This window comes from Homo sapiens, chromosome 19 (genome assembly GCF_000001405.40).
Source record: "Homo sapiens chromosome 19, GRCh38.p14 Primary Assembly".
In the NCBI taxonomy this organism is placed as follows: Eukaryota; Metazoa; Chordata; class Mammalia; order Primates; family Hominidae; genus Homo; species Homo sapiens.
Window position 1 is genome coordinate 23,764,586 of NC_000019.10, and position 14,775 is coordinate 23,779,360.

Below are 14,775 nucleotides of genomic sequence, written 5' to 3' on the forward strand. Positions count from 1 at the left end.
TCTCCTGCCTCAGCCTCCCAAGTAGCTGGGATTATAGGCTGCCACCACTGTGCCCTGCTAATTTTTATATTTTGAGTAGAGAGTGGGTTTTGTCTTGTTGGCCAGGCTGGTCTTGAACTCCTGACCTCAGATGATTTATCTGCCTCAGCCTCCCAAGTCTGTAAACATTTTATGTGAGAAAAAAAGTAGAAAATAATCCTCTGGAACTCCACTTTAAAAAAAAAAAAAAGTCTGCGCCTCTCCTTCTTTTATCTTCCCTAGGCACACACACCCTACTAGTACGTCTTTGGGTTGAAGTTTTGCTTTGGAGAAATTACAGGGCCTTTACAGCAGCCCTTTAGTCTATTCTTGGTAATGAGTTTCAGAACTGTCTGGGGTAACTCAACATACCCACAGTGGCCATATATCTTGGAGTGTCTAATGAGTATCATCCCCTGAGTCGTCTCTTAGAGGACAGTCTGAGGAGTAAGAGTGTAGCCTCTCAGAAGAGCAACTGGATGGCCTAGGCCTGTGGAAAATTTCCTTGTATACTATTTGTCTAAAAAGCTAACCTCTTAGAAAATTAAAATTATTTTTTCACAAAGGAATGCTTCTACACTGTTGGTGGGAGTGTAAATTAGTTCAACCATTATGGAAGACATGGTGGGAACTCCCTGAAGACCTCAAGACAGGAATACCATTTGACCCAGCAATCCATTATTGGGTATTTACCCAAAGCAATATGAATTATTCTATTATAAAGGCACATGCATGCGTATGTGCACCGCAGCACACTTCACGATAGCAAAGACATGGAATCAACCTAAATGCCTATCAGTGATAGACTGGATAAAGAAAATGTACATATAAAACATGGAGTACTGTGCATCTATAAAAAAAAAATGAGATTATGTCCATTGCAGGAATGTGGATGGAACTGTAAGCCATTATTCTTAGCAAACTAACACAGGAATAGAAAACTAAATACCACATGTTCTCATTATAAGTGGGAGTTAAATAATGGGAACACATAGACCCGTAGAGGGGAACAACACATACTAGAGCCTATTGGAGGAGGGAGAGGATCAGGAAAAATAACTTATGGGTAGTAGGCTTAATACCTGGGCGATGAAGTAATCTGCACAACAAACCCCCATGACACAAATTTACCTATGTAAAAAATTTGCAATGTACCCTTGAACTTAAAAGTTAAAAAAATAATTTGTTAGCTTTTCCAATAATTCCCTGATAGCGTTTTGATTTTATGTGTGTATGACACCTATTATGTATCAGAAATTTGGATTACACAGATGAACAGGGTTCAACATACCTGCCGTGTAGGAGTTTATAGTTCATTAGCATGGATAGGTGTGTAAAAAATTAATTTATTCTGGAGAATAATACTTGTACATAAAAAGACATAAGGTATTGAGCTGTAAGGTAATAGTGATCAATTCTGCCACTAACATAGCAGTGGGAATATCAAGGAGGGCTTTATAGAAGAGGTGACATTTGAGTGGGTGTCATTGTTTAATAGAACTTTTTGTATTAATGTTGCTGGTGCGGATATTTCATTTCCTTTTTTTTTTTTTTTTTTTTTTTTTTTGAGATGGAGTCTCACTCTCTTTCCCAGGCTAGAGTGCAGTGGTGCAGTCTCGGCTCACTACAACCTCCACTTCCCAGGTTCGAGTGATTCTCCCACCGCAGCCTCCCGAGTAGCTGGGATTATAGGCATGAGCCACTGTGCCCAGCCTCAGAGTGTACCCTTTAAAAAATTATTTTAAAAAAATTTTACCTCTTGACTCTGAAATATATTGAGAGGTCTTCCCCCAATGAGATAAAAATGAACAAGTGTGTAAACAGTTAAGAAGTTTTTTCTCAAGCTAATTTTTTTTTTTTTTTTTTGAGACAGAGTCTTGCTCTGTCACCCAGGCTGGAGGGCAGTGGCGCGATCTCCCCGGCTCACTGCAAGCTCCGCCTCCCGGGTTCACGCCATTCTCCTGCCTCAGCCTTCCGAGTAGCTGGGACTACAGGCGCCCACCACCTTGCCCGGCTAATTTTTTGTATATTTAGTAGAGACAGGGTTTCACCGTGTTAGCCAGGATGGTCTTGATCTCCTGACCTCGTGATCCGCCCGCCTCGGCCTCCCAAAGTGCTGGGATTACAGGCCTGAGCCACCGTGCCGGGCCAAATGTTTTTTTTTTTTTTTTTGAGACGGAGTTTCGCTCTTGTTACCCAGGCTGGAGTGCAGTGTCGTTATCTTGGCTCACTACAATCTTCACCTCCTGGGTTCAACCAATTCTCCTACCTCAGCGTCCTGAGTAGCTGGGATTACAAGCGCCTGCTATCAAGGCCGGCTAATTTTTTGAATTTTTGTTTGTTTGCTTGTTTGTTTTGTGTTTTTGGGAGACAGAGTCTTGCTCTGTCATCCAGGCTGGAGTGCGGTGGCATGATCTCGGCTCACTGAAACCTCTGCCTCCCGGTTTCAAACCATTCTCCTGCCTCAGCCTCCTGAGTAGACAGGTGCGTGCCACCACGCCCAGCTAATTGTATTTTTAGTAGAGACGGGGTTTCGCCATGTTGCCCAGGCTGTTCTCGAACTCCTGACCTCAGATTATCCACCTGCCTCGCCCTCCCAAAGATTTGGGGTTACAGGCGTGAACCACGGTGCCCGGCCTAATTTTTTGTATTTTTAGTACATACGGGGTTTCATTATGTTTGCCAGGCTGGTCTCTAACTCATGACCTCAGGTGGTCCATCTGCCTGGGGCTCTCAAAGTGCAGGGATTACAGGTGTGAGCCACCACGCCTGGCCTCTCAACCTGATTTTTATTTTTAGTAGACACATTGGTGATGAGACAATCAAATGTTCGCATTGATGAGAAAAGGCAGAAATGATTTTTGTTCTCTGGATTCTTGAAATAAAATTTTTTCCAAAGGACAAGAAGATCCCATCCCAGTAAGGCAATGCAAGAACCTGCAAGCAAAATGTACCTGAGACTCACAGTGGGGTACAAAGTGTCTCCTGGGAAGGTGGTCACTGAGTAATTTAATAGGCAGGATGGGGATGACAGAATATTTTGAGTGATATTATGGTCTGACTTGACAGTGGAGTCAGACATGTTTGTGTCCCAATCAGCACTGCCACTTCCTGAGTTTGTCACCTTGGAAAGATTTTTTCACTTATTTCAATTTCAGTTTTTTTTTTTTTTTTTTTTTTTGAGACAGAGTCTAGCTCTGTCGCCCAGGCTGGAGTGCAGTGGTACAATCTTGGCTCACCACAACCTCCGCCTCCCGGGTTCAAGCTGTTCTCCTGCCTCAGCCTCCTGAGTAGCTGGGATTACAGGCGCCCACCAGCATGCCCAGCTAATTTTTCTATTTTTAGTAGAGACGGGGTTTCACTGTGTTGGCCAGGCTGGTCTGGAACTCCTGACCTTATGATCTGCCCACCTCAGCTTCCCAAAGTGCTGGGATTACAAGCGTGAGCCACCACGCCCGGCCCAATTTCAGTTTTTTAATAACTGTAAATTACATTTCATCAGAAGAGCTTAAAAGATGTTTAAAAAGTCAACGACTATGAAAGGTATATTTCAGAAAAATCTAGTGATATGTTTTATTTGTTAAATTTATGTTTTTTTCTGGTTGTGTAATTTTAAATAGAACCCCAGGGGTTTGCTTTGAGAATGCTACCAGAGAAGAGAAATAGGAAAAATCTTTTTTCCATTATGGCTATACAAAGTGAATACATTTCCACAAGCAAATATGATAGATTAATTGGTGCATTGTATATATTTCTCAAACCATCAGCTCCTCTTTTTTTCAAAGTCTAGAATTTGTAATGGTGGATATCTCTGTTCTGTATTCTGTTGTCTAGATATCCAAGTTTAATGCAAAATTTTATGACATGGAACTTGACACTTTCTAGAAATGTTCACATATGGTTGTTTATTAAATTATCTCTCATGGAAATATTTAAATGACATGTTTATTGTCTGAAAAGGACAGATATTTAAGCTTTTTTTTTTTTTTTTTCTTTTTTTTTGAGAAAGAGTCTCGTTCTTTTGCCCAGGCTGGAGTGCAGTGGTACAATCTTGGCTCACTACAACCTTCACCTCGCAGGTTCAAGCGATTCTCCTGCCTCAGCCTCCCTAGTAGCTGGGATTACAGGTACACACCACCAGGCCCATCTAATTTTTCTATATTTAGTAGAGACAGGGTTTCACCATGTTGGCCAGGCTGTTCTCAAACTCCTGACCTCAGCCAATCCGCCCGCCTCAACCTCTTAAAGTGATGGGATTACAGGTGTGAGCCATTGTGCTTGGCCCCCTTTAACTATTTTATGTGACTCTTCTCTCTTACCTGAACGTTGCCCAAAAAGAGATTGTGACATATATTTGGGCCCAGCACCAAGGTGATGTAACTCTCCTCTTCAGCCGGGCCTTGCCCACAGAAGAGAGAATGACTTATTCCTGAGTTTAGCATACAGGTGATTTGATTCTTCTGCTGACTCCCAGAAGTCACTGTAACATATATCTGGGTCCATCGCTGAGACTGTGTGACTCTCTTCTCCCTGGGACCTGTCCACAGTGGGGATTGTGACGTATTGCTTGGCCAAGCACCTACGTGATATGACTCTTTTCTTAGGCCTGGGCCCTACCCACTGGAGTGATTTTGACACATTGCTGGGCCTAGCTCAAAGGTTATATGTGACTTCACACTTCTTCCTGGGCCCTACCCATGAGGGGCACTGTGTCTTAACTCTGAGACACTTAATTAGGTGATGTGACTCTCTTTTTTCGAGATGGAGTCTGGCTCTGTCACCCAGGCTGGAGTGCAGTGGCAAAATCTTGGCTCACTGCAACCTCCACCTCCTGGGTTCAAGTGATTCAACTGCCTCAGCCTCATGAGTAGCTGGGATTATAGGCATGCACCGCCACAGTCAGCTACTTTTTGTATTTTTAGTAGAGATGAGGTTTCACCATGTTGGCCAGGCTGGTCTCAAATTCCTGACCTCAAGTGATCCACCTGCCTTGACCTCCCAAAGTGCTGGGATTACAGGCGTGAGCCACGATGCCCGGCCGATGTGTCTCTTTTGTTTGGACCCTCTTCTTGGGATATTGTGACATATTGCTGGGCCCAAAATCTAGGTGATGTGACTCTACTCTTTGGTCTCTGCCCAAAAAGGGATTGTGGCATATCACTGGGTCAAGAACCTAGATGAGGTGACTCTCCTCTCCAGTCTGGGACCTGCACACATTGTGTGTTGAGACATATCACTGGGTCTAACACCTAGGTAATGCAACTCTCCTGCAAGGGCCCCGCCCACAGAAGTATTATGAAATATCTTTATATTAATCACCTAGGTGATGTGACACTCCTCTTCTGCCTGGGAACTGCAAAAAAAGTATTATTACATATCACTGGGCCCAGCACCTAGGTGATGTGACTCTTTGCTCATGCATGTGCTCTGCGAACTGGGGTGTTTGTTACATATAGTTGGGCCTAAACCCTAGGTCATGTGATTCTTTCATTTTCCTGAGCCATACTCATAGCATTTTGACATATTTTTGGGCCCATAATTTAGATGATGTGACTCTCTTGCATGGGCCCTCCCCATAAAGGTAGTGTGACATATTGTTGAGCCCAGTACATAGGTGATGTGACTCATAGTTCTCTATGGATTGGGCTTTGCCCAAGCAGGGATTGTGATGTGTTGCTGGACTCACCACCTACGTGTTATGACTCTCCTCTTCTGCCTAAGCCCTGCATGCATTGTGTGTTGTGACATATGCCTGGATTCAGCACTTAGGTGATATAACTTTATGACATGGGAACTGCCCATGGAAGTATTATGACATGTCTCCTTTCCATCACCTAGGTGATGTGACCCTTTTATTTTTCTTGTTTCTGGCATATTTTGGGTATAGTGACGTATCATTGAGTTCAACACCCATGAAATGGAGGCTTCTGCCTGAGCCCAGCACATAAGTGGCCTTGTGAAATATCTTTGCATTCATTATCTAGGAGATTTAACCCCCCTTTTCTGCCTGCACCCTGACCACTGGGAAGATTGTGACGAATCACCGGTCTCAGCAATCAGGTGATCTGTTTTTCCTGCCTGGTCCTTGCCCACAGATCATTGTAACATATCACTGGGCCTAGCATCTAGGTGATGTGACTCTGCTGACTGTATTCTGCTTTCAGGGGGAGATTTTAACATAACCCTAATCAAGCACCCATGTGTGGGTGTGGCACTTCTGCCTTATCCCTGCCCTCAGAGAAGATTGTGACATATCACTGCCCCAAAATGCGGTGATGTGAGTCTACTGGTCAATACCTATTCACTGGTGGGATTGTGATGCATATCTTATCCAAACTTACAGGTGCAATAATGACTCTCATACCTCTAAACAACCAGTAGCAGATGTAGTTTCTCTCATAGCCAGGGTCAGGAAAATGAGTAATATCCTGGGCCTCCTCTTTGTATGAAGGTCATAAAGAATTAACACTCTCTCACATACTGTGTAAAGTTGTCAAGAGGTACAGAGAATGTCCTAACAGAACTCAGCACACAGGGGAGGTTGTGACACTCATATGCATAGCCTGCCAACAGTAAAGACTGTCATCCTTCCACATAAACACAGCTCAATGTTGAGGTTCTGAATCTCATACCCAGCTGCAGTCAAAAGTTGGAAAATTGAATGTCATGTTAATTCAGTCCATAGAGAGGTCAGTGTCTCTGAGACCAAGATTCAGCACATGTGTGAGTTGTTGACTTCAATAAATGACACAATTTGCAGGAGGGATTGAGGTTTTCATACACAAATCCAGACCGTCATTGAGACTCATTCATGTACTTATACCCAACATACAGAGGGTATTATGTCTCATACCTAGAACTAAAAAAATGTGTGAAATTGTTAATCTCATACCTCCACCTTCATCCAGATGTGATTGTGACATACAATTCTGCCCAGCAACTGAGTGATTTGACTCTCCTGCCTGGGCCCAGTGTACAGACGGGGTTGTGCCATATTGCTCAACCCAGCATTTAGGTGATGTGAATCTATTCTTTTGTCCTAGTGCTTTTCACAGAGGGCATTGGACATATCACTGTGAGTAATGTCCAGGTGATGTGACTTTTCTCTACTTCCTGGGCTTTTCCCAAGAAGGGACTGTAATATATTTCTGGGTCCAGAACCTAGGTGATGTGACTCTCCTCTCCTGCCTGGTTTCTGTTGTACATTGTGTTATTGACATGTGGCTGGTTCTAATACCTTGGTGATGTAAATCTCCTGTATGGGCCCTGCCCACAGAGGTGTTATATCTTTTCATTCATCACCTAGGTGATGTAATTCTGTTTTTCTGCCTGGGCCCTGCCGGAAGGGAGGATTGTGGCATATCACTAGGCCCAGCACCTAGGTGATATGATTCACCTGTTTTTCCTGTGCCTCACATATTTTGAGTACTGTAAAATATTACTAGACCTACCACCTATGGGATTGCGTGCTCCTGCCTGGGCTCTGCCCACAGGGACATTGTGACATATATCTGCATCCATGAAGTAAAAGATGTGACATTTCTTGCCTGCACCCTGCCCTGCACAGGAAAGATTGTGACATATCCCTGGAACCAGACACAAGGTGATTTGGCTCTTCTGCCTCTGTCTTGCCCCCAGGGAGCATTGTGACAGTGCTGTGACTCTGTTGCCTGTGCTGTGCTTTCAGGAGAGAATTGTAACATATCCCTGGCTGAGCACCTAGGTGATGTGACACTGCTGCTTGGTTCCTTCCCTCAGGGAAGATATCCTTGGCTGAAATCCCAGGTGATGTGACTCTCCTCCTAACTCCCTACCTACAGGTTAAATGGTGACATATACTATAGTCAGCTTATAAGTGCGATGATTACTCTCATAACTCAAGTCAGCTATTAGAAGAAATAGTGTCTCTCATAGCTTGCCTTAGATGAGTCACATCCTTGGTCTCTCTTTTTATGAAGGTCATAAAGAATTGCCACCCTCCCACATATCATATAATGCCCTTGAGTGTTACAAAGAGTGTTATCCCAGGGCACAGCACAAAAGTGAGCTTGTTTCTAATATGCACACCTCGCCAACCATTAGGATTATCACCTTCACACATGGAAAGAGCCCATTGCTGAGGTCTTGAATCTCAAATGCAAACACTGTCCACAGTTGGAATTGTGACTGTCATATATGAGCCTCCAGCCACAGTTGAGATGGTGACACATTTCTAAACTCAGAACATAGCAGATGAGGACTACTATCCAAACCCAACCAACTGGAGAGATGTTTACCCCAATACCTGGGCTTAGGGCCAGAAGTATGGTCATGGGTGCTTACAAACATGATTTTAGAGTAAATTGTGACTCTCATTTATACTGGATAAAGCCATTGAGTAGTACAGAGAGTGTACTAGCCGGGTTGCATTGAGTTGAGATCGTGCCACTGCACCCCAGCCCAGGTGGCAGTCTGAGACTCCGTCTCCTCCTGTGTGTATGTGTGTGTATATATATATATATATTTTTATTTTGGATGGAGTATCTCTCTGTTGCCCAGGCTGGAGTGCAGTGGCACGATCTCAGCTCACTGCAAGCTCCACCTCCCAGGTGCACGCCATTGTTCTGCCTCAGCCACTCCAGTAGCTGGTACTACAGGTGCCTGCCACCACGCCTGGCTAATTTGATATATATATATATATATATCAAATTTTTTTTTTTTAAGACAGAGTCTCACTGTCACCCAGGCTGGAGTGCAGTGGCGTGATCTCAGCTCACTGCAACCTCCACCTCCTGGGTTCAAGTGATTCTCCTGCCTCAGCGTCCTGAGTAGCTGGGATTACAGGCACGCACCACCATGCCCAGATAACTTTTGTATTTTTAGTAGAGATGGAGTTTCACCATGTTCACCAGGATGGTCTCGATCTCCTGACCTCATGATCTGCCCGCCTCAGTCTCCCAAAGTGCTGAGATTACAGGCGTGAGCCACCACAGCCGGCCTGGAGATTTTTACTGTTGTATGAACACACATCAAATAGCATACATCATCATTTTCTCACATAAACATAGCCTACTCTTGAAGTTCTGACTCTCACACATAGAGGTAGTCAGAGGTGGAAAAATTGACTCTCATATGTGGATTCAGTTTGCAGGTGAGTTGATGACACTTAGAGCAAGATTCAGCACACCTGTGAGTCTGTGACTTCACTAATTAGACAAAGTCCACAGGAGGAGTATAGGCTGTCAGGTACAAATTTAGTTCATCGTTGAAATTGTAACTCCTGTTCTTAGACACAATATATAGGAAGGGTTAACTTCCTATTCCTAAAACCAGAACATGTGTGGGATTGTTAATTTCATCCCTGCACCTTCCTGCAGGTTTAATTGTAACATTTTCAGCACCTGAGTGATCTGACTCTTGCCTAAGACCAGCCCACAGATGGAATAGTGACATATTGCTGAACCCTGAACTGAAAGGATGTGACTCTATTTTTCTGTGTTGGTGCTGCTCACAGGGGACATTGTGACATATCGCTGGGCCTTGCACTTAGGTGATGTGAGTCTCCTCCTTTGCCTTGGCACTGCCCACAGAATGCATTGTCACGTATCTCTGGGCCCCACACCCAGGTTATGTGACTCTCCTGACTGTCCCCTGACCACATAAGCAATTATGACATATTGCTGGGTCCGACTCTCTGGTATAACTCTACTGCCAACAAGGAGCATTGTGACATATATTTCCACTCATCATCAAAGTGATGTGACTCTCTTCTCCTGCCTGTTCCCTGCTCACAGTGGGAGTTGTGACATATCACTTGGCTCCGTACCAAACAAATGTGATTCTTCTTCCATCATGAGTTCTGCTGGCAAGGGAGATTGAGACATATTATGGAGCTCTACACCAATGTGACATTACTGTTTTGCCTGGGCCTGGACCTCAGAAGCCATTGTGACATATTACTGGGCTCAACAAGGTAACATGAGTCTCCTGTATGGACCCTGACAACAGAGCATTGTGACATCTTTAAGAGCATCAACTATTTGATGTGACTCTCCTTTTACACAAGGCTTCCCTCATATGAGAGATTGTGACATACCTTCTGGCCCAGAAATCAGATGACATGTTTCTTCTGCCTGAGCTTTGCTTACAGGGAGCATTGTGACATATCACTGGTCTCAGCACCCATGTGATATGACTCTACTGTCTGTGCCCTGATTTCAGGAGGAAATTGAACTTATCCCTGACTGAGCACCCAGGTTTTAACTCTTCTGCCTGGTGTCTGCTCTCAGAGAAGATTGTGACATATCCCTGGCCTGTTACCCAGATGATGTAACTCTCCTGCTCACTCCCTATCCACAGGGGAGATTGTGACATATACCTTTGTTCAGATCATAGGTGTGATGTTTACTCTCATATCAAAAATCAGCCAATAAGAGACAAACTATCTTTCATATGTGGGCTTGGGAAAATGAGTAAGATTCTGGCTCTCCCCTTTGTAGGAAGGTCAGAGAGAATTACACTCTCACATATTGTATGAAGCCCCGGGTGGTACAGAGAGTGTCCTAACAGGTTGCAGAAAACATGAGATTGTTTTTGTGTATGCACACTTTGCCAGTTGTTAAGATTATCACCTTCATCCATGGACAGAGCCTACTGGTGTGGTCTTAAATCTTACAGGTGGATGCAGTGCAGAGTTGAAATTGTGACTGTTGTAAGTGAACATCAGGCAACAGCTGAGGTGGTGACTTATTAATAAGCCTAGCTTATAGGTAGATGGCAACTCTCATATCTGGACCCAGCCATTACAGAGGTGTTAACTCTCATATCTGGGCATAGAGCCACAGGTACGATCACGGGTCCATAGCAGCAGAAAAGTCTCCCAGCCACAAAAGATTGCGACTCTCACGTGTACCTTATAAATTCCTCAGGTGGTACAGAGAGTGTTCTAACTAGGCTCAGTGTAGAGTTTAGGTTTTCACACTCATGCACACCCAGCCAACAGTAAAGATTTTCATCTTTTCACATGAACACAGTCCACTGGAGGTTCTGAATCTCATATGCAGAGACAGTCACAAGTTGGAAAATTTACTCTCATAAGTGAATTCAGTCCAAAGGTAAGTTGGTGACTTTCAGACCAAGATTGAACACACCTATTAGTCTGTGATTCCACTAAGGTGACACAGCCAGTAAGAGGGATTGAGTCTGTCATTCAGTGATTCAATTCATTCTAAAAATTGTGACTTGTGTGCTTAGATCCAACATACAGGAGGTGTTGACTTTCATACCAAGAACTGGGGTATATACAGGATTGTTAATGTCATCCCTGGTCTTTCCTGCAGGTGTGATTTTGGCACACACTTCTGCCCAGCACCTTAGTAATGTAATTCTTCAGAATTGGCCCAGCCTACAAATAGGATTGTGCCACACTGCTGGACCCAGCGCCTAAGTGATGTAACTCTGTTCTGCCTTGGTGCTACTTGAAAAAGACATTGTAGTATATCTCAGAGCCTTACACCCAGGTAATGTGAGTCTCCTCTCATGCCTTGCTGCTGCACACAGAAGCAGGATATGCACAGGATTGTTAATCTCATCTTGGACCTTCCTGCACGTGTGACTGTGACAGATGCTTCTGTGTAGAACCTGAGTGATTTTACTCTCCTGTCTGGATTTAACCCACAGATGAATCGTGACATATCGCTGGACCAGAAACTAGGTGATGTGACCCCATTGTCTTGCCTCTGTGCTTTCCACATGGGGCATTTGGACATATCACTGTGCCTTGCACCCAGGGGATGGGAGTTTTCTCTCCTGCTTTGGTGCCATCCACAGTGAACATTGTGAAATATTGCTGCCCTCCCCCCTAGTTTATGTTACTCTCCTGCCTCTGCTTTGCTCACATGGGTCATTGTGACAGTGTGACATACTGCTGGGTCTAAAACTCAGGTAGTGTAACTCTCTTGTTTGGGTTCTGCCTGCAGGAGCCATTGTGACATATCTCTGTGCTCATCACCCAGGTGATGTGACTCCCTTTTACTGCCTGGTTTCTTCTCACAAAACATCTTGTGACATATTGCTAGGCCCCATACCTAGCTGGTATGACTCTTTTAGGCTCCACCTGCTGCAGAGATTGTAACAAACTGCTGGGCCCAGCAGCATAATGATATTACTCTTTTGCCTTGGGCCTGCCCTCAGAAAGCACTGTAACATTCATGGGCCCAATGCCGAGGTGATGTGTGTCTTCAGCCTGGACCCTGCCCACAGGGGGCATTGTAACATATCACTTGGCTCATCAGATGTTTGATGTTATCCCCTCCCCTCTCCTACCCTGTGTTTGCCTATAAGAGACATTGTCACAAGTTTCTGGGCCCAGCACCTAGGTGATATCTTCCTGGGACCTGCCATATGGGGATTGTGATATATCGCATGGCCCAGTACTTACTTGATGTGACTCTCCTCTCATGCCTGGGCCCTGCTTACAGGTGTGATTGTGACACATAGCTTGGCCTAGCCCCTAGGTTATGTTACTCTCCTCTTATCCTTCAGTTATTTTCACAAGGGGCATTGTGACATATTGCTGGACTGGGAACCCAGGTGATGTGACTCTCCTCTACTGCCTGAAATACAACCAAAAAGAAAGTTTGATATATTGCTTGGCCAGGATCCTAGGTGACGTTATTCTTTTCTCCTGCCTAAACCCTGCATACATTATGTATTTTGACACATCGTTGAGGCCAACACCTAGGTGATGTAACTCTCCTGCATGGGCTTTGCCTACAGGGGTATGATGATGTATCTTTTCATTCATCACCCAGGTGGTATGACTCTCCACTTATGCCTGGGCCTTGATGAAACAGAAATTGCGACATATCCCTGGACTTGGCACTTAGGTGATGTAACTCACCTTTATTGCCAGGGCATGGAATATTATGAGTATTGTGACAAATCTCTTGGCCTGACACCTAGGGGATGAGAGACTCCTGCCTGGGCCCTGCCCACAGGATGCTTTGTGGCCTGTCTTCTGGTTTTATTACCTAGAAAGATGTAGATGTGACTTTCCTCTTCTGCCTGCATTCTTCCCACAGAGAAGATTGTGACATCACTGGACCCAGCAATTAGAAAATGTTTCTCTCCTGCCTGAGCCTTGCCCACAAGAACATTGTGACATATCCTTGGGCTCAGCACCCAGGTGATGGAACTCTACCACCTGTGCCCTGTCTACTTAGGCTATTGTGAAGTATAGCTGGTTTCAATACCCAGGTGATGTAACTCTCCTGCCAGGCCACTGCCTTCCAGTGATATTGTGACATGTCTTTGTGCCAATCACCCAGGTGATGTGAATCTTTTCACCTGCCTGGTCCTTGTTCACTAGGGGATAATAATACATATTGCTGGTTTCAGCACCAAGCTGATGTGACTTGTCTCTTCTTCGTAGATTCTATCCCCCAAAAAACTGACATATCACTAGGCCCATCAGCAAAGTTATTTTGCCTGGTCCTGCCCTTAAAAGACATTGTGACATATTGCAGTGACCAGAACCAATGTAATTTGTCTCTTGCCTAAACCCTGCCTACTGGGGGAATTGTGATAGATCTCTTGGCCAATCAACTGTTTGATGTGACTTTCCTTTGTGGGTTTTTTGTTTTGTTTTTGATGGAGTTTCACTCTTGTTTCCCAGGCTGGAATGCAATGGCGCAATCTCGGCTAACCGCAACCTCTGCCTCCCAGGTTCAAGCGATTCTACTGCCTCAGCCTCCCAAGTAGCTGGGATTACAGGCCTGCACCACCACGCCCAGCTAATTTTTTGTATTTTTAGTAGAGACAGGGTTTCTTCATGTTGGTCAGACTGGTCTCGAATTCCTGACCTCAGGTTATCTGCCCACTTCGGCCCCCCAGAGTACTGGGATTACAGGTGTGAGCCACTGTGCCTGGTGACTCTGTTTTTTAACCAGGGCTTTGCCAATAGTAGAGATCGTGACCTATCTCTGGGCCTAACACCTAGATGTTATGACTTTCCTCTCCTGCCTGGTCCATGCCCACAGAAAAGAGAGTGACTTACCGCTAGGCTCAACACACAAGTGATGCGATTCTTCTGCATGATCCCAGCCCACACCGCTTACTGTGACATCTCTAGACCCATCACCTGGATGATGTGACTCTTCTTCTTGGGAACTGTCCATAATGAGGATTGTGACACATCACTTGGCCTAGCACTTATGTGATAAGACTCTTCATTTGCCTGGGCCGATCAATTTGGGCGACTGTGTCATATAGCTTTACTCAGCCCCTAGGTTACTCTCCTGTTTTTCCTGAGTCCTACCCACAGAGGTCATTGCAACATATTTCTGAGCCCCTCATTTAGGTAATTTGACTGACTCTCCTGCCTGGGCCTTCTGCTCAGTGATTTTTGTGACACTTTTTTTTTTTTTTTTTTTTTTTGAGACGGAGTCTCGCTCTGTCGCCCAGGCTGGAGTGCAGTGGCGCAATCTCTGCTCACTGCAAGCTCCGCCTCCTGGGCTCATGCCATTCTCCTGCCTCAGCCTCCCAAGTAGCTGGGACTACAGGCGCCCGCCACCACACCCGGCTAATTTTTTGTATTTTTAGTAGAGGCGGGGTTTCACTGTGTTAGCCAGGATGGTCTCGATCTCCTGACCTCATGATCCACCCGCCTCAGCCTCCCAAAGTGCTGGGATTACAGGCGTGAGCCACTGCGCCCGGCCATGACACATTTTTTGACTGAGCTCCTAGGTAATAAGACTCTTCTCCATTGCTTGGACTCTG

The 14,775-nt window shown here is 44.9% G+C and overlaps 1 protein-coding gene across 14 annotated transcripts in view, besides 1 other annotated feature; it reads left to right on the plus strand.

The window, feature by feature from the left end:
• RPSA2 (ribosomal protein SA 2) overlaps positions 1-14,775 on the plus strand; it is a 112,693-nt gene that overhangs the window by 6,090 nt on the left and 91,828 nt on the right. The gene's annotated exons all lie outside the window — the stretch shown is intronic.
• Positions 4,470-4,971: an enhancer, noted in NCBI's record as "H3K4me1 hESC enhancer chr19:23951857-23952358 (GRCh37/hg19 assembly coordinates)". NCBI's record gives its function as "activates a minimal SCP1, AML or CMV promoter by ChIP-STARR-seq in primed H9 embryonic stem cells {active_cell/tissue: H9 hESC(primed)}" and the evidence as "EXISTENCE:reporter gene assay evidence [ECO:0000049][PMID:30033119]".